This window comes from Homo sapiens, chromosome 15 (genome assembly GCF_000001405.40).
Source record: "Homo sapiens chromosome 15, GRCh38.p14 Primary Assembly".
In the NCBI taxonomy this organism is placed as follows: domain Eukaryota; kingdom Metazoa; phylum Chordata; class Mammalia; order Primates; family Hominidae; genus Homo; species Homo sapiens.
The window spans coordinates 28075761-28095724 of record NC_000015.10 but is presented as its reverse complement, the minus strand read 5'-3'; the positions used below and the strand labels follow the sequence as shown (position 1 = coordinate 28095724).

The window sequence follows — 19964 nt, the reverse complement described above, 5'->3', positions numbered from 1 at the left end:
TTTTTTTTTGAGACAGTTTCGTTCTTGTTGTCCAGGCTGGAGTGCAATGGCGCCATCTCGGCTCACCGTCACCTCCACCTCCCTGGTTCAAGCGGTTCTCCTGCCTCAGCCTCCCGAGTAGCTGGGATTACAGGCACGCGCCACCACGCCCGGCTAATTTTTGTATTTTTAGTAGAGACGGGGTTTCTCCATGTTGGTCAGCCTGGTCACGAACTCCTGACCTCAAGTGATCCGTCCGCCTTGGTCTTTCAAATTGCTGGGATTACAGGTGTGAGCCACCGCGCCCGGCCACAATGTTCTTAAGATTTACGAAGAAGCTGTTTTCCACACGCTGTTGATCGCCGCCACTGTGAAGTCGGCGTGCGGCGCCTGCTGCCGGCTGTCGTTTCACAGGGGCGGGGTGGGAGGGCCGCGGTCCCCCGGGCGCACCCGGGCGGGGAGTGCGCAGGGCGGCCTGGCTGGGCCACTCCTGCCCTCCCGCCGGGCGCCAACCGGGGATCCGCCAGCTCGAGCTCTGCTCCGAGTCCCGCAGACCCACCATGCCCGGAGCACTCAGCCGTGCGGCCACGGGCGTGCCAGTACCAGCGGGAAAGGCCGGGGCTGCCTGGACCTGGGCAGGAGGCGGTGACCCGGCCTAGCTTGAGCGCCGGCAGCACCGCTCTCTTGGCTGCTGCTCATTCACACCCGCAGGCCTGGAGCCTTTTCTTGGGCCGAGCAGGTGACCCAGGCTCCTGTACGCAGTGGAGAAGGGCCCAGGCGTGGAACGCCGTCCCCTTCCCGGCAGGGCAGGTGTCAGGACCACGCCCGGCGCCGCGCCCTGGCCTCTGTCGGTCCTGGCACCGGTGCCGTCGCCCCACTCCGCCCTGGGCACGGCTGCGGGAGGCGGGGCTCGGGCAGGCTTGGTGAGCGTCTGGCGCGCTCTGAAGGCCACGGCACGGCGGGGCGTTGAGGGCCTCGGAGAGAACGGTGCTGGCAGCAGGGGCGGCAGGAGGGGCCCGGGCCCACCCCCACCTCGCAGGGCCCGAGTTCGGGGGCACGGTTGCAGGCAGAAAGAGCGCAGAGCCGGAGAGAGGGCCGGCAGTAGCCCACACGAACGATTTGGGGTTGAGTGTGAGGACTGGAAGGTTCCACCGACTCTGAACCATCTATTTTTTTTTTCTAAAAATAAGCCACAACTATCTATTTTTTCTTTCTAAAATTTGGTGACTTCGGTGTGAGTCTTGCTTGGAAGGAGGGTCCTGGGCGCCATCGCGGGGAGGACCTGGAGGGGTGGGTTGGGGCTGTGGCATACTCCGCCCTGTGCCGCCGGCTTACAGCTCCCCTACCCCTCTCCCGCCAGCTGCAGGTGTCCCTACGGGCGGGAGCTCTGCCCAGGGTGGCCCTGCCCTAGGCAAGTCAAGCGCATGGGGCCCAATAAAGCAAAGCCAGGCTGAAGCTGTGGTTCCCGTGAGAGTGCAGCCACGGGCTGGGGTGAAGGGAGGGTCACCCCAGAGGACGGGCTGTGTGCTAGTGTGTTGGGGTCCCCCAGAGGTAGGCTGTGTGCTAGGGTGTTGGGGTCCCCTAGGAGACAGGCTGTGTGCTAGGGTGTTGGGGTCCCCTAAGGGACAGGCTGTGGGATTGGAGTGCTCCATCATCTGCATGAGAGGCGATGACCAGGTGGGACTAGGAGGAGTTAGGATGTGTTTGGAAGAACTGGATGAGGAATGTGTGAGAAAGAGGGAGAGTTCTGGGTGAGCAGAGGCCTCTGTCTCCCAGGGAAGAGGCAGGAAGTGAGGTGGAACGAGAGCCCCTACTCAACCCCGGACAACCACTAACCTGTTCCCCATTGATATAACTTTGCCGTTTCAAGAATGTTGTAGTCATGGAATCAGAGTAAATAGTCTGTTGGAACTTGCTTTTTTTCACTGAGGATTTTCACTCTGGATTCCTCTACGTTGCTGTGTATGAATTGTCTGTTCCTTTTGATTGTGGCGTGGTCTTCCCGGCATGCATGCACCGCAGCCTATTTCACACTCCCCTACGGACAGACGGCTGCGTGGCTTCCAATTTTTCATATAGCTTCTATGACCATTTGCGTGTAGGGTTTTGTGTGAATGAAAGTTTCATTTCTCTGGGATTAATGTCCAGGAGTGCAATTGTTGGCTGGTAGTTGCAATTTTAGTTTTTTTTTAAAAACTGTCAAACTGCTTTCCAGAGTGGCTGTACAATTTTACATTCCCATTGGTGATGCAGGAGTGAACCACCCTCTCGAGTCCTAGGCAGCTGGCGGTGTTGTCTCTGTTTTCTTTTTTCTTTCTTTCTTTTTTTTTTTTTGAGACGGTGTTTTGCTCTTGTCGCCCAGGCTGGAGTGCAGTGGCTCACTGCAACTTCCACCTCCTGGTTTCAAGTGATTCTCCTGCCTCAGTCTCCTCGGTAGCTGGGATTACAGGCGCCCGCCACCACACCTGGCTAATTTTTGTATTTTTAGTAGAGGCGAGGTTACACCATGTTGGTCAGGCTGGTTTCGAACTCCTGACCTCAGGTGATCTGCCTGCCTCGGCTTCCAGGTGTGAGCCACTGCGCCTGGCCTGTTTTCTATCTCAGCCTTTCTGATAGGTGTGCAGTGATAGCTCATAGTTTTAATTTGCATTTCCCTAATGGCTCACGATCTTGAATGTCTTCTCACGTGCTTAGTTGCCGTGTGCATATCCTCCTTAGTGAAATCTTTGCCCATTTTACTTTTTTTTTTGTTTACTTTTGAATTTTGAAAATTGTTTAGGAGTGGTGAGAGGGAACATTCTTGCCTTGTCTTCCTGAGAAAGCTTCAGGTTTCTCACCATTAGGCGTAATGTTAGCTCTATGTCTTTTGCAGATGTTCTTTAATAGGTCTGAGGAAGTTCCTCTCTATTCCTAGTTTTCTTAGAGTTTTTGTTTTATCATGCATAGGTGTTGGATTTTGTTAAATGCTTTTTCTGCATCAATTGATATCACCATGTGATTTTTCTTCTTTAGCTTTTAATATGGTAGATTACATTGCTTGATATTTTTCACAGTTCTATTGAGATTATAATTAAATACCATATAATTCACCCATTTAAAGTGTACAAATTCATACCTGTAATCCCAGGACTTTGGGAGGCTAAGGTGAGAGGATCACTTGATCCCAGGAGTTTGAGACCAGACTGGGCACCATAGTAAGACCCCATCTCTACTAAAAATAAAAAATTAGCTGAGTGTGGTGGTGTGTGCCTGTGGTCCCAGCTACTTGGGGGCTGAGGTGGGAGGATCACTGAGCCTGGGAGGACAAGACTGCAGTGAGGCGTGATTGCACCACTGCACTCCAGCCTGGTTTACAGAGAGAGACCCTGTTTCAAAAAAAATGTACAATTTAATGTTTTTTTTCAGTATATTCACTGAGTTGTGTGACCATCACCATGATCAATTTTAGAGCATTTTTATTAACCCAAGTGAAACTCCACATTCATTAGCATTTGTTCTTCATTTCCCTCCAACCCTATCCCCTCCCCTAGCCATAAGCAGCAACTAATTTATTTTATTTTATTTCCCTATGGATTTACCTGTTCTGAAGATTTTATATATACATGGAGTCAGGCAATATGTGGCCTTTTGTGACTAGCTTCTTTCACTGAGCATGTTTCCAAAGGTTATTCATGTTTTAGCATGTGTCAGACACCATTCATTTTTATTGTCAAATAATCCACTGTGTGTATATACCACATTTTATTTATTTAGTAATGGACATTTGGGTTGTTTGTACTTTTGTTTTTTTGAGATGGAGTCTTGCTCTGTCACCCAGACTGGAATGCAGTGGCACGATCTCAGCTCACTCCAACCTCCGCCTCCTGGATTTAAATGATTCTCCTGCTTCAGCCTCCCAAGTAGCTGGGGTTACAGGTGCCCATCACCATGCCTGGCTAATTTCTGTATTTTTAGTAGAGACGAGGTTTCGCCGTGTTGGCCAGGCTGGTCTCAAACTCCTGACCTCAAGTGATCCTCCTGCCTCAGCCTCCCAAAGTGCTGGGATTACAGATGTGAGCCACCGTGCAGGGCCGGGTGCTTTCCACTTTTAGGGTATTATGACTAATGATCCTATTAATGTTATTGTACACATTTTTGTGTGGACATATGTTTTCATTTCTCATGGGCATATTCCTACAAGTGGAATTGCTAGGTCATATGGTAGCTCCATGTTCAACATTGATTGATTTTTGAACATTGAACCAGCCTTGCATTCCTGGAACAAACCCTACTTAGTTATGTGTGTAGCTCTTTTGATATATTACTGAATTCCCTTTGCTAATATTTTGTTAAAGATTTTTGCACCATATTCATAAGAGATATTGGCCTGTAGTATTTTTTCTTTGTACTGTATCTGATTTTGGTATCAGGGTAATATTGTCTTCATAAAACTCACTGATGAGGTATACCTCATTTTCTATTTTCTGGAAGAGATTGTATAGAATTGGTGTTAAATGTTTGGTAGAATTCTCTAGTGAAACCATCTGACCCTAGAGATTTCTTCTGTAAAAATTCAAATTTAATTTACTTAATAGAAATTACAGAGCTATTGACATTACCCATTTTATATTGGGTGAGTTATAGTAATTTGTGCTTTTTGAGGAATCACTAAGTTTTCCAAGTTATGTATGTAAAGTTGTAAAATGGCAATCTGATATACCACTATTATTCTTTGATGTCTTCAGGGTCTGTAATGGTATTTCCTGTTTCACTCCTGACATTAATAACTGTCATTCTGTTTTTTTTCTTTGCCAGTCTTGCTAGAGGATTGTTAATTCCATTGATATTTTCAAAGAAGTAGCTCTTGGTTTCATTGATTTTTTTCTACTGTTTTTGTTGATTTGTTTTCTATTTCACTGATTTTTAATCTCAGCTTCATTATTTCTCATTTCTGCTTGCTTTGGGTTTATTTTCCTCTTCTTTTTCTAGGTTCTTGAGATGAGAGCTTATATTATTTTTGAGACTTGCTCTCCTTTTGATACCAGCATTTATGCTGTAAATTTCCTCCCATCACTGATTTAGCTGTGTTCTGTCAATTTTGATATGTTATATTTTCACTTTCATTCAGTTCAATATAATTCTGATTTCCCTTGAGACTTTCTTTTTGAATCCTGGATTATTTGGAAGTATGTTTAATTTCTAAGTGTGCAGATTTTCCTCCTCTCTTTTTGTTACTTATTTCTGATTCGATTGCATTGTGGCTACAGAATACTCTGTGTGATTTCAATTCTTTTAAATTTGTTGAGGTTTGGTTTATGGTCCAAAGTGTAGTCTATCTTGGTGTATGTTCTGTAGGCACTTTGTAAGAATATTCTGCTGTTGTTGGATGGAGTGTTCCATAAATATTGATTATATTCTATTGGTTGATGGTGTTGTTCAGTTCTTCTATAACTGCACTGATTTTCTGTCTAGTTCTATTAATTGCTGAGAGATAAATGTTTAAGTCTCTAACTATAAAACTATACTATAAATGTGTCTTTCTCCTTTTAGTTCTATTAGTTTTTGTGTTAGATATTTTGCAGCTCTGTTGTTTTGTGCATATGTGTTTAGGATTTCTATGTCTTCTTGGTAAAGTGACCTTTTTATCACTACAAGATGTCTCTCTCTGTGCCTGGTAATTTTCTTTGCCTTGAAGTTTAGCATATATTACGTGAATATAACCGCTCCTACTTTCTTTGGATTGATGCTTGAATGATATATCTTTTTCCATCCTTTTACTTGCACCCTACCTATATTGTTATTTAATTTTATTTTTCAACTTTTATTTTAGATTTGGGGCTACATGTGCAGGTTGTTACAAAGGCATGTTGTGTGACACTGAGGTTTGGTGTACCACTGAACCTGTCACCCAGGTAGTGAGCACAGTCCTCAATAAGTAGTTTTTCAAGCCTTGACCTCCACCCTCTTTCCCTGCTCCAGTAGTCCCCAGTGTCTGTTGTTCCCATCTTTATGTCCATGTGAACCCATATACTGTTATTTTAGAAGTAAATTTCTTATAGACCTTGCATAGTTGAGTCATATTTTTAAATTCACTCTGCCAATCCGTCTTTTAGTTGATGTATTCAGACCATTTACATGTAATGCATTTTTTTCTGATATGTTAGGGCTATGGGTAAATTGAACATTTTTTTTAGAATTCCATTTTGATTTGTTGTTGCGGGAAGTCAGGGACCCCGAATGGAGGGACCAGCTGAAGCCATGGTAGAAGAACATAAATTGTGAAGATTTCATGGACATTTATTAGTTCCCCAAATTAATACTTTTATAATTTCTTACACCTGTCTTTACTGCAATCTCTTTACATAAATTGTGAAGATTTCATGGACACTTATCACTTCCCCAGTCAATACCCTTGTGATTTCCTATGCCTGTCTTTAATCTCTTAATCTCATCATCTTTGTAAGCTGAGGATGAATGTCACCTCAGGACCCTGTGATGATTGCGTTAACTGCCCAAATTGTTTAAACAATATGAAATCTGGGCACCTTGAAAAAAGAACAGGATAACAGCAATGTTCAGGGAGCAAAGGAGATAACCTTAAAGTCTGGTGGCCTGTGGGCCGGGAGGAACAGAGCCATATTTCTCTTCTTTCAAAAGCAAATAGGAGAAATATCGCTGAATTCTTTTTCTCAGCAAGGAACATCCCTGAGAAAGAGAATGTGTCCCTAAGGGGAGGCCTCTGGAATGGCCACTTTGGGGACGTCTGTCTTTTACGGTTGTCGATGAGGGATGAAATAAGCCCTGGTCTCCCGTAGTGCTCCCAGGCTTATTAGGATGAGGAAATTCCCACCTAATAAATTTTGGTCAGACCGATTGTCTGCTCTCAAACCCTGTCTCCTGATTAAGATGTCATCAAAGACAACATGTGCCTGAAACTTCATTAGCAATTTTAATTTTGCCCTGGTCCTGTGATCTCGCCCTGCCTCCATTTCCCTTGTGATATTTTATTACCTTGTGAAGCATGTGATCTCTGTGACCCACACCCTATTCATGTACTCCCTCCCCTTTTGAAAATCACTAATAAAAACTTGCTGGTTTTACGGCTCAGGGGGCATCACGGAACCTACCGACATGTGATGTCTCCCCTGGATGCCCAGCTTTAAAATTTCTCTCTTTTGTACTATTTCCCTTTATTTCTCAGACCAGCCGACACTTAGGGAAAATAGAAAAGAACCTACATGAAATATCGGGGGTGAATTTCCCCCGATAATTTATCCATAATGTTTCTTGGTGTATCTCTTTTAAAGTCATTGTTCTAGGTATTAAAGTATATATACATGTTACTTGTCACAGTCTACTGATGCCATCATTTTATCAGTTTGAGTAAAATCAAGAAAACGTACCTCCTTTTACATCCTTTACCTCTCTCATTTGTTATAGAATTGTCTTGATGATTCCCTCTGCATACATTAATAAACACATCAAGGAGTGTTAAAATTTTTGCTTCAAACATTCAACAGAATTTAGGAAAATCAAGAGGAGAGGGAAAACATATTTACCTACGTATAAATGTTATTCAATAGCATGCTATCAACAGTAGATGACAGAATTATTTCCATTAAGCACTTGCATTCTCTGAATGAAAACAGCACATGATGCATCTGTTAAGAATCTTGCTTGGACTTACCTTTTTTTTTTTCCTTTGAGATGCAGGTTCGCTTTCGCTGCCCAGGCTGGAGTGCAATGGTGCAGTCTCAGCTCACTGCAACCTCTGCCTTCTGGGTTCAAATGATTATCCTGCCTCAGCCTCCCAAGTAGCTAGGATTACAGGTGTCTGCCACCACGCCTGGCTATTTTTTGTATTTTCAATAGAGATGGGGTTTCACTATGTTGGCTAGGCTGGTGGCAAACTCCTGACCTCAGGTGATCCACCCACCTCGGCCTCCCAAAGTGCTGGGATTACAGGTTGTGAGCCACCGTGCCCAGCCTGGACTTACTTTTTATTTTATTATTATTTTTTGAGATAGGGTCTCACTCTGTCACCCAGGCTTGAGTGCAGTGGCACAATCCTGACTCACTGAAGCCTCGACTTTCCTGGCTCAGGTGATTCTCCTACCTCAGCCTCCTGAGTAGCTGGGACTATAGGCATGCACCACCATGCCTGGCTAAGTTTTTGTGTTTTTAATAGAGATGGGATTTTGCCATGTTGCCCAGGCTGGTCTCAAACTCCTGGGCTCAATGAATCTGCCTGCCTTGGCTTCCCAGAGTGCCAGGATTATAGGCGTGAACCACCATGCCTCTCCTTACCTATATTCTTTTACCTTCCTGATGTTCTAAAATGTATTCTTTCATTTTCCCTTTCTATTTAGAGAACTTCCTGTAGCCATTCTTTCAGGGTAGGTCTGCTGGCAATAAATTTTTAGTTTTCTTTGAAAACATCTTGATTTTTCTTTCACTGGATATAGGCTTCTGGCTTGACTGTTCCTTCCTCTCATTACTTGGAAAATGTTATGTCATTTTCTTCTGGCCACCATGGTTTCTGTCATCTGAATTGTTTTTTCCCTGTAGGGACATTTTAATTTCTCTCTTTAAGACTTTTTCTTTGCTTTTAATTTTTAAAATTTTGCCCACTATATATGTTGGTGTGGATTTCTTTGGGATTATCTTGTTTGGGGTTTGCTCAGCTTCTCAAATCTGTAGGTTTATGTCTTTTGCCACATTTAGGAAGTTTTCAGCCATGAGATCGTCAAATACTTTTTAAGCTACATACTCTTCATCATCTTCTTCTGGCATTTGGATTATATGAAAGTTAGGTCTTTTGTTATGGTCCCATAGGTCTCTGAGGTTCTGATAAATTGTTTTAGACTATATTTCTCTATTGTTCAGGTTGAGTAATTTCTATTGTTCTATCTTCCACTTATTGATTCTTTTCTCTGTCCCCTCCATTTTACTGTTGAGTTCATTTTTGCATTTTGAATTTTGCTATTGTGTTTTCAGTTTCATTTGAGTCTTATTTGCTGAGACTTTCTGTGTTTCATTTGTTTCAAATGTGTTTATTTCTCTTTGAAACATTTTTATTTTGGCTGATTTAAAAATATTTTTTCAGATAATTCTAACATCTCCATCATCTTGGTGTCATCATCTATTTTCTTTCAAGTTGAGATTTTCCTGGTTATCACTATGACAGGTGGTTTTGAGTGAAACCTGCATATTTTGAGTATTGCTTTATAAGACTCTAATCACCACTTAAACCTTCTGTTTAGGTGCCTTCCTTTGACACCACGCCAGCAGAAGGGCCTGACACTGTCTCATTGCTGCCAGATAGGGTTAGAAGTTCAGGTTCCCCAAGATGGGGAAGGATTCCACCTTATTGCTGGGTGGTTGTGGGACCTCTGCCTCTCGCTAGGACTCTGCTGATATCACCCTGGCTGAGTGGGGTGGGACACCTCATTACTGCTCATTACTGACCTCTAGTGACACCACTGGGGAGTGGCCTCATTACTGCTGAGCAGAAGTGAATGCCCTGACTCTCCATTTGGCCTCCTCTGACACCCTGTCAGCAAGGAAGGAGAGGGGTCCCTTTTCTGCAGGGCAGGGATGAAGTCCAGCCTCCTCACATGGTGGTCCCCACTTAAGCCATTGGGGGAGGAGTGTGTAGGGAGGAGGTGGAACTCCCTAGCACTCAGCAACGGTGAATGTCCAAACTCCCTACTCAGCCTTTTGCGAAGCATCCCTGTGAGGACTGGGGGCCAGGCACTGTGTAATAGCCTTTGGAGGGTGCCCACTCAGCCTTTGCTCTCCTGAGTGGATGTGGGTCTGCAGTATTAGGCTGCAGTAGAACAGATATTGTCTAAAAGCTTTCTGTCTTGCTAGGCTACTCATTTCCTGGTCCTTTGGCTGGGGGCAGGCTTCTTTGGGGCTTTTTGTTCTAAACATCAGGTTTTTAGTTGTACTTAGCAGGAAGAACAGGGAAAAGTAGGTCTTCTCTGTCTTCCTGAAGGCACCAGTCCTGAGCTGTATATTTTTAGTGTTGGCAGATAGGACAGTATGTTTGCATGCCAGCTTGTGAGGTTTGGGATGGGGAGGAATGCAACAGTGCAGTCTGGGCGGGGGTGGGAGCAGGTGGGCTCCACTGTACCTGGCAGGGCTGTAGACAAGTGTGTCCTTGAGAGGCTGGGCTTTTATTCTCATTGCTTCTAGTTTTGCCAGCACAGCCATTCTGGGACGTTTTGCTCTTGGAGACATTCCTCACTCTTGCCCTACTGTGTTCTGAATCCCAGTGTCTGACTCCAGCTTGGGCTCTGGCTTGAGTTCAGCCAATAGGAGACTCTTCTAGAAGATTAGGGGAGGGAGGATGCCCCACTCTTCTTTGGGGCATCTCTTCTGGGGCTCCAGCTCCTTCTAGAAGTTCTCAGAGTAGCTTCTATTTCCTTCTTGGACCCCGGCTGATTCAGGCAGTGAAGGGAGCAAGAGGCAGAGGCAGCAGCTGGGAGTGAAAGGGGGAAGGGTGTGTGGGGTTTAAGTGGGGAGTGAAGGAGAGCAGGCGCGTACACTGTCTGGGGAGGTGCGGTGGGATTGCTGGGCAGTACTGGGGCCCACCTGGGGTTCCTAATATGATGTCATCTGCAGGCATAGGCAGCAAGGAAGGTTTTCTACAGCCATGTTCAGCTGCTGAGCAGGGTTGGGATTTGGCCACAGGTGGCAGACTCTAGGGGCCCATGGTCCCCACCTCCTGGTGTTCACACCCTGGTTTAGTCCCCTCCCTTTGAGTGTAGGCAGGCAGGACCCAGGACTGACCTCCAGCTGACAGAATACAGCAAAGTGGTGGATGTCCCCCTGACACGTAATAGCCTATAAAACTCTGCCTCACTGCTGCTCGCTCTCCAGATGCTCCTTGTTGCCTGAAAAGGCAAGCCAACATACTGGAGGAGCCCACATGGTGAGGATGCAGGAGCCTGTTGGGGTGAAGGGGGCCTCTGAGGGGGCCTCCTGTAACAAAACACCATAAACTTCTTGCTGGCCCACAGCCAGCAAGAAGCTGCAGCCCTGAGTCATGCAGCCACGAGGACATGGATCCTGTCTGCACTGAGTGACCTTGGCAGCAGATTTTTCCCCAGTTGAGCTTCCAGATGAGATCACAGCCCAGTGGCCCCTTGAGATCCCAAGCAGACAACCCAGTTGAGCCACCCTGGCCTTGACCCACAGAAACTCTGAGATTATACACGTGTGTGCTTTTTAACAGGTACACTTTGTGGTGATTTGTTTTGCAGCAATAAAAAACTCGTTTATCAGGTAAGTTTGAGAGAATGAGTTGGGGCAAGTAAGAGGAGGGTGTTTGCTGGACCAGAGAGGCTCCACTGGGAAAGAGGGGAGTGAGGTCTTGGAGAAGGGACATGGCCTGAAAGAGAATGGACATTTGTTGCACTAAGGGTGGGTGGTATGTTCCTGTGTGAGTCCATTCATGCTGCTGTAACAAAACATCATAAACTGATGACTTATGCCACAAACATAATTTCTCACAGTTTGGGAGGCTGTGAAGTCTCAGATCACAGCACCAACAGATTCCGTGTCTGGGGAGGCCCACCTCCTGGTTCACAGACAGCATCTTCTCGCCGTGTCCACACATGGTGGAGAGAGGAGCTGAGCTCTCCCACGACTCTCAGAAGGGTCTGGAGCTGATTCATGAGAGCTCTACCCTCAGGGCCTCTCCAAATCCCAGTCACCTCCCTGAGACCCCACCTCTGAATACCATCCCATTACAGGGCAGGGTTTCAGCCTCTGAGTTTGTTGGAGGGCACATACACATTCAGTCTGTGGCAATTCCAATGGCATGTTCTTCTAAAGAAGCTGGGTGTTTTAGGAGGGGCAATGGCGCCCTGGAATTGTCAATGGAGAGCAGGAGGACCCCCTCTAAAGTCTCAGCAGGACCAGTTACATAATTTGTGAGGCCCTTTGTTCAAAAACCAGGGAAAATGCCATTAATGGTAAGGATAAAGTTTTCTCCTTTCTTCCATAGTCTCTCTCTCTTGGCTTGTCATGGTGCTTTTAAATTGGTATTTAATGTCATTATTCTAAATAAAAAAATTTAAATTTTAAATTGTTAGCATTACTTTTACTAGTCATCTTTATATCATGCCACATCAGTTTCAAATGCAAATATTGAAACATTTAGCTCATGCGTGGAATTTGTGAAATCAGACAACTTTTTTATAGCTGGTATGTACATTTGTACTTTGTTCTTACCAGGTAGTGGAGCCACTGTCTAAAACCAATGCAACTGTTTTATCTCACTTTTATGATACAAGAACATTCTGCCGACATGGCCTGCCTTCGGCTCACTGGTTTGTGAGTGATCACTCTCAGCATAAGTGGTTGGTTAAAGCAGGGAAATAACAATGGTGAGAAGGATATATGGACTTCCTTGGTCGTTCAGGTTTCTTCGAATGTCATGTTTTTCTATATTTGAAGTAAGTTCTGGCTCCACCAGGAAGTGTGCGTCTGGGGCTGTCAGTGCTTGGCTTACTCAGCTGTAGCCATCACACGTCTTGTACTTGCTTTGAGTCACAGCAAACTCCTTTCATCCTGGGTCCACTGGAATTCTGTGCTCATGGGGCATTGTGAAGACTGTATGTGAAACAGGCGATTAGGAGTGGTGATACACTACTGTGCTAACTCCAGCCCCAGCACGTGCCTCTGCATCTCAGCGCCAGACATCCTGCATGGCCAAAGTGCACAGTCAGTCCTGGCTTCCCAGCAACCCTGGACAGCAAACCAAGTGGCTGCAAGGCCAAAGGTCATTTCTGGTGCTGTCGGCTGCTTGAAAATGCAAAAAATAAAATGGTGAGTGGTTTGAAATATAAGCCCCAAAGTAGGACAGCATTACTTTAGAGGTATAGGAATAGTTCTTACTTTTATTGTAGGTATTATTATATTCTCACCAGAATAGTATTAATTTGCTAAATGCAAAAAATGTGAAAATCATAGATCAAACAAAACCAAAGAAAAAGGACCCCCGTGGGCACTTTCGCCATCCAGAGGTAGCCATGTTTTGGAGGGTGTGTCTTTTGGGCCTCTGTTGTATGTATGTAATTTATACATATTTATTTCAATAAAAACATCACAGTGTACCACTTGTCCTTATTCTTTACACATCCATAGCATTTCCCAATAACAAGAACCATCTCTTAGATCATTTTAAATGTAGCACAGAATTTCATGCTGTGCACACATCACAATCTACTTAACTAGCTCTCTGTTGCTGAACACTTAGGCCACTGCTAGGGTGTCCGGAGTTGGTTCCTTCTGGTGGGTTCTTGCTCTCACTGACTTCAAGAATGATGCTGCAGACCTTCCCGGTGAGTGTTACAGCTCTTAAAGGTGGCACAAACCCAAAGAGTGAGCAGCAGCAAGATTTACTGTGAAAACCAAAACATCGAAAGTATCCACAGATTAGTAGGGGAGTCCAGCGTGTTGGGGTAGCCAGCCTTTTATTCCCTTATTTGTCCCCGCCCACGTCCTGCTGATTGGTCCATTTTACAGAGTGCTGATTGGTCCACTGTACAGAGTGCTGATTGGTCCATTTTATAGATTGCTGATTGGTGCATTTACAATCCTCTAGCTAGACACAGAGTGCTGATTGGTGCATTTACAATCCTTTAGCTAGACAGAAATGTTCTGCAAGTTCCCACTCCACCCAGGAAGTCCAGCTGGCTTCACTTCTCACTAGGGTGAAATGCTCTTGCGTGGTTAGGATGCTGGAACTCTGGGACCGCCTCCGAAGAAGCAACCTTCCTATTGTACGGACTCCCAAGGTGCAAACGTTAGTCTCAGTGTGCCTTTCATGAAGAGTGGTTTCTTTCTGGCTGCCCTAGAGAGAAGACTGGCAGTGGAGCATGCATCTGGAGGGCAGAGACGGCAGGCGGTACCCCGGCGCGCCGGCGGTGGAGCTCCTGCAGACGTCCGTGCCCAGCGGACTCGCTGAACTTGTGGCCGGCAAGCGCAGGCTTCCTCGGGGAGCCGGTGGAGCTGACCCCTCGCACTCCTGCCCCAGGGGGGCTGCCGGGCAGAGCTCTTGGGCTCCTGCAGGCCAGGAGTTTGCTTCATTCCTCACAAAAGGGAGGTGAGTTTAAAATAGTGCCATCTTGTAAATGTGGACTTCACACAGATTGGGTTTCCATGAGCATCGTTCCCCCACGTTTGTTGTGGGAAAAATTTCCAGAAATTTTGCAAGAATTTTTCCAGCATTAGATCACTTTCCTGGCTTAGTTTTTGATGACTGATATTTGTAAAATATGATGAACTTAATTTAGCTCCAAAAGATAATAAAAATAGAAAAAAGAGTTTGTAGCATGAAGACTTAACACTTAATATATTATTTAAAGTATTGCAATTATTCTGCAATTTTGGAAAGCGTATGTCTCTGAGGGCATGCCTTATTTCTATACATATAGCAAGTGAATTAACTGAGTATTGTTTTTCATGTCAGAAAAGTCAGAATTTACATAAAAGGAAATTTAAAAATAATTTCAACTTTTATTTTAGATTCAGGGGTTAAATGTGCAGGTTTGTTACCTGGGTATATTGTGTGATGCTGAGGTTTGGGGTACGACTGATCACCCGGGTAGTCAGCATGGTACCCAATAGTTACTTTTCCACCATCCCTCCTCCCGCCCCTGTGTGGTCCGAGTGTTCCCTGCTGCCTTCTTTATGTCCATGTGCACCCGGGGGTTAGCGCCCACTTGTCGTGAGAATATGTGGTATTTGGTTTCCTGTTCCTGGGTTAATTCGCTTGGATAATGGCCTCCAGCTACATCCATGTTGCTGCAAAAGACATGATTTCATTCCTTAAGAAAAAATTTGATACATCTTTAAATATTTACTTATGTAAAGACAATGAATGGTTTTTACATGTCAATGCTTATACTGCAAACCCATAATTTGCAGTTCACATAGATGTCCTTGTAATGAGAAAAGCAGCATCCTATGAGTAGGTGTCTCTGACTGTCTTTGTTGGGCCATATCGATTACATGGCAGATCTGAGGATCCTCGTTCCCACAGCCAGAGCTCCGACCCCTGCAGTACTGATGGTCTCTCCAGCCTTTAACAAAGCACCACAGAATTGCATGCGGGTGTGGTGCATGCTGCTGCTGTCATCCTGCCCGCTCCAGGGGGAGCTCCCCAGCTTGCGTGCTCATGCTTTCACTGAATGTTTCTATTGACTTACAGTCTATGCTGTCCTTTTGCAAGTGGTGAAACTTTGAGTTGCTCTCTTTGGCAATGTGTTTTGAGGTTTCTTTGTGCTGATGCCTGTAGCTCTCGTTCATTCGTGTGAACTCCTTGCATAGAATTTCATTATGTGAATATGCTACCATTAATACATGTTCTCCTGTTGGCGGCTTTTCAGTTTCTGCTCCTCATCCCCCAGTATGTGCTATTAAAAACAGCCTGCAGCAAATGTTCTCTGTTATACACTGAATGTGTCTGTTCCCCCCAGATTCATATGGAATATTCTGAGTATTAACTTTCTCTGGTCCCATGTTGCAGGATCTTCTCCCAGCGAGGAGCTTGCCTTTTCCTTTTCTTTAAAGAGTGTTTTGTTGGGAAGTGTCTAATATGGCCGGAAGGACTGTGTGGCCTGTGCATGGGGAGGCAGATGAGGCAGCAGGATTGTCCCAGCCAGGATGTGAGTGATGGAAGGTAATGTTCAGCTTCCAGTGAGACAAGAATTGGGAAAACCAGAAGAGCATATGTTGCATATGTTCCAAGTTCTTTGACCTCACTTCTTGCTTCGATGTATGGTGTACCAGGGGCAGACTGGGGCCTGTCATGAGCTCCACAGGCAGGAGGCCCTGGGCAGCCAGGCAGGATTCCAGGTGGAGGAGGAAGGAGAGCGTGGGGAGGTGCTGACAGGTGCAGGCACATGGGGGCAGGAGCTGGCAGGTGTGGTGGTCCAGTGAAGGGAGGGTGAGGGTGCCCTGACCCCACAGCCTGCGCAGGGCACGGGGAGGGGGTGTCGGGATGGCACTGGCAACTACCTAGGCTGAGTGTGGAGATGCCAGAAGGTGCCACCCTTGTCCACAGGCATGAGCCCTCATGAGTGAGCCACACCTCCCATGCGGAGCTTCTCCCAGGAGGAGGAGCAACAGGGAACCGCAGCCTCAAGGGGCAGCTCTCAGCACCATGAGGAGAATGGTGTGTTGGCCCAACCCACCCACAGTGCGGGCTCTCGGGGGAAGGGCTCACTGGTGTGAATGTCTGAGTGTGGAGGGCACAGGCTGTTGCCCACATGGCCCTAGGTGAGCCCCCTGAAACAGCACACTCCTGGGCAGGTGTGTGGCCATGTCGCCTGGTGGCCATGTACACAGTATCCCAGCACTGTCATCTCAGGCTAAAGGTTACTGAAGAGTTTTATTACATTTTGCCCTTCTTGTTTCATGAAAATAGGCAGAAAATGAAAAAAAAAAAAACAGTAATCTTATCAGAGAAAAGATACGTAAGTCTTTGAATCTACCATAGGTGGGAGTCTCAGGTATGTGGAAACCAGCAAACCCCTTAGCCTCAATGAAGTCAAACTCATCTATTATGGGTTCAGTTGTGAAGAGAATGAGCAGAACGAAAGAACACTATGAGATGCTGCAAATAGATTGCTTCAGACTGCGTTGAAAAGGTAATTTGGGGGACTGTACTGGCCTATGTTTTAGCTCTCAGGGAATCATCCCCTTGTAGCCTCGTTTTCTGTTGTTTCTGCAGGAGAGAAGCAGGCAGAGGCTGTAGCCTGCCGTGTCCCCTTTTTCCTTTGGCTCCCAGGCAGCTCAGGTGCAATTTCTTGGGTCAGTTACATCACCTGTGCACAAACTGGTTACTCGGTATTTTCTTAAAATGATTAAAATCTGTGTGAAACAAGGCAGGATATACATATAAAGAAAGCTGGAAGGAAGAGTGAATTCAGGATCTATTGCCAGGTAACAAATTTCTCCCAAACTTAGCAGCTTAAAAGAGTACATATTTATTTTCTCAGTTTCATGGGTCAGAAATCTGGGCACAGCTGACCTAGGTCCTCTGCTCAGGGTCTTCACAGGCTGGGACAAGTTGTCATGTATGGCTCTAACCATAGCATCTCAGTGTTCAGCTGGAGCAAGGTCTGCTTCTGAGCTCATCTGTGTGGTTGTTGGCCGGGTGTGGTTCTTCCTGGGCTGTTGGATGGATGGCCTCAGTTCCTTGCCAGCTGTTGACTGGAGGCCATCTCAGCTCATTGCCAGGGGCCCACTCCATCTGGGCAGGCACAAGGGATAGTCTTTTGTGACCTAATCATGGAGTGACACCATCCCTTCTTCTGTATTCTGTTGGTTAGAAGCCAGTCACTACTAGGTCCAGCCCACTCTCAGGGATGGGATTGCTGGAGGCTGTGAGTAGCAGCAGGCCAATTCCTGGGAGCCACTCAGGCATCACCAACCCCAGAGATGAATAGTGATGAAGGAAATTGTTGTGAAAAAGTTGGAAATGGAACACAAAGATGATTGGTGTCTTTTATAGGAAGTGAAGGGAAGTCTGGAGTCCTTCCAGGTTATCTGCATCTTTCACTGTTTGCAACTGATCAGAAAGCTGACAATAATGCAAATAACTCTTTTCCCTAGAAGTAAAGTTGGATTGTGTCCGTGGAATGCATTGTCCAGTTTTGCATTTATTTGTAAGTTCAATTCAACGTTGTCACCCAGGCTGGAGTGCAGTGGTGCAATCTCGGCTCACTGCAACCTCTGCCTCCCAGGTTCAGGCGATTCTCCTTCTCAGCCTCCCGAGTAGCTGGGACTACAGGCACTCGCCACCACATCCGGCTAATTGTTGTATATTTAGTAGAGACGGGGTTTCACCATGTTGGCCAGGATGGTCTCGATCTCCTGACCTCGTGATCCACCTGCCTCGGTCTCCGAAAGTGCTGGGATTATAGGCATGAGCCACCGCTTCTGGCCCAATTCAGCATTTCTAATTGCCCATGTTTGTGTGGTTTTTTGCGTCTTATCAGTTTCTTCTAATTGATGAGTTAAACAAAATATTGACCTGCATTCATTTTATATTGGGACGTGAGTCGCAGTTTTACCCTCCTTTAATAGTAGTCCTATAACAGAGGGAACCAACCACAAAGACATATGGAGAAAGCAGACTTCATTCTCTGGGCACCTCAACCCTTGTCTTTGGGACCCTGCGCCTGCTCTGTATGTCCAGCCCTGGAACGCTGCTGGACATTCCTCAGGGCTGTTTCCCCTGTCCTAGCTGAGGACTTCCACCCTTTTGTTAGAGGAATACGTCTTGTCCATACAATCGTAATGACATGGAACAAACAAAATTGCCAAATTAAAGATGAATTTTTTAATCTAATATGCTAATTTTATTCATAAAAAAACTAAGCACAGGGCTGGGTGCGGTGGCTCATGCCTGTAATCCCAGCACTTTGGGAGGCTGAGGCAGGTGGATCACCTGAGGTCAGGAGTTCGAGACCAGCCTGACCAACATGGAGAAACCCCGTCTCTACTAAAAATACAAAATTATCCGGGCCTGGTGGCACATGCCTATAATCCCAGCTACTCTGGAGGCTCAGGCAGGAGAATTGCTTGTACCTGGAAGGCTGAGGTTGCAGTAAGCTGAGATCTCACCATTGCACCGCAGCCTGGGCAACAAGTGTGAAACTCTGTCTCAAAAAAAAAAAAAAAACAAATTAAGCACAGAGTGACACACAGACTTCCCCACTCTCTCCACTCTCTCTTTCCCATTTGCTTTGCCTAATTAAATCTCAGAAAATTTTGAATCAATTTTTTTTGTATCTCAAAATAGTATGTAAGAATGACAGATGTACTTAAATACAATTGGTTGTCAGATTGACAGACTTAAATTATCTATTTTTTTTTTTTTTTTTTTTTTGAGACGGAGTCTCGCTCTGTCGCCCAGGCCGGACTGCGGACTGCAGTGGCGCAATCTCGGCTCACTGCAAGCTCCGCTTCCCGGGTTCACGCCATTCTCCTGCCTCAGCCTCCCGAGTAGCTGGGACTACAGGCGCCCGCCACCGCGCCCGGCTAATTTTTTGTATTTTTAGTAGAGACGGGGTTTCACCTTGTTAGCCAGGATGGTCTCGATCTCCTGACCTCATGATCCACCCGCCTCGGCCTCCCAAAGTGCTGGGATTACAGGTGTGAGCCACCGCGCCCGGCCAAATTATCTATTTTTTTTAAAGGCAAGATTGTGTGGGAAGGTTTATTTCTAATCAGTGGAAAATGTAATTAATTTTTTCTAATTGTTTTCACAAATCAGGAATTAATTGACCTTGAAATTTGCCCTTTCAAAATTAGCTAATTACCTTTTGGTCTTCCACTTAGCAGGAATATATTTGATGGCAGATTGGACAGGGAAGCAAATTAGAGAGAATATGTTAAAAATAATGAAGATAAATTATTTAAGGCAGCGTTTACATCTGTCATGGATTGGTTACTGTATTTCATTATCAAGTGAAAATAAATATATTGCTGAAAATTTGGAGGTCGAAGGGAGAACACAACATCGTGCCTCTAACACAATCATTACTGTCTGCTTGCATTTATCTGTGTTCCCTTCTGGTCTTTCCTATATGTAATACAAGTTTTTACATAATTGTGCTCAGAGTGTATCTCTTGCTTTGTAGTTTCTTAAATGTAACAATATGTTGTAAACACTATCAGTGCTGTTGCAGATTGCTCAAAGCTATTATTTTATGTATTTTTAATTGAGGTATAATTTCACCAGAAATGGTGAGTAGATCTATGAGTTTTGACAAATGCATACAATTGTGTAATTGTCAGCAAATCAAGATCTGGAATATTTCTATCACCCCACAAAAACTCCTTTGGCTGCTTCCTTTTCCCGTCAGCACTTGTTAACCATCAATCTGTTTTCTGTTTTTACATTTTGGCCTGTTTCAAGCATGTCAAATAAATGGAACCATTGAGTTTGGTTCTTTTACTTTGTATAATGCATTTGAGCT

General features: G+C 45.4%; 1 protein-coding gene across 30 annotated transcripts in view; it reads left to right on the top strand.

Annotated features, from left to right (window-relative positions):
* Positions 1-19964, top strand: part of OCA2 (OCA2 melanosomal transmembrane protein) — a 380308-nt gene that overhangs the window by 3591 nt on the left and 356753 nt on the right. For 14 of the 30 annotated variants that reach the window (XM_047432619.1, XM_047432618.1, XM_047432609.1 and 11 more), the window contains exon 2: positions 13830-14077. In XM_047432619.1, coding sequence (XP_047288575.1) covers positions 13851-14077 — 227 coding nt within the window. In that variant the 5' untranslated portion in view covers positions 13830-13850. Of the gene's footprint in view, positions 1-10494; positions 12799-13829; positions 14078-14822; positions 15656-19964 lie in introns of those variants that run through there. The other 16 variants (XM_047432607.1, XM_017022260.2, XM_047432615.1 and 13 more) reach the window with 11 other exon arrangements.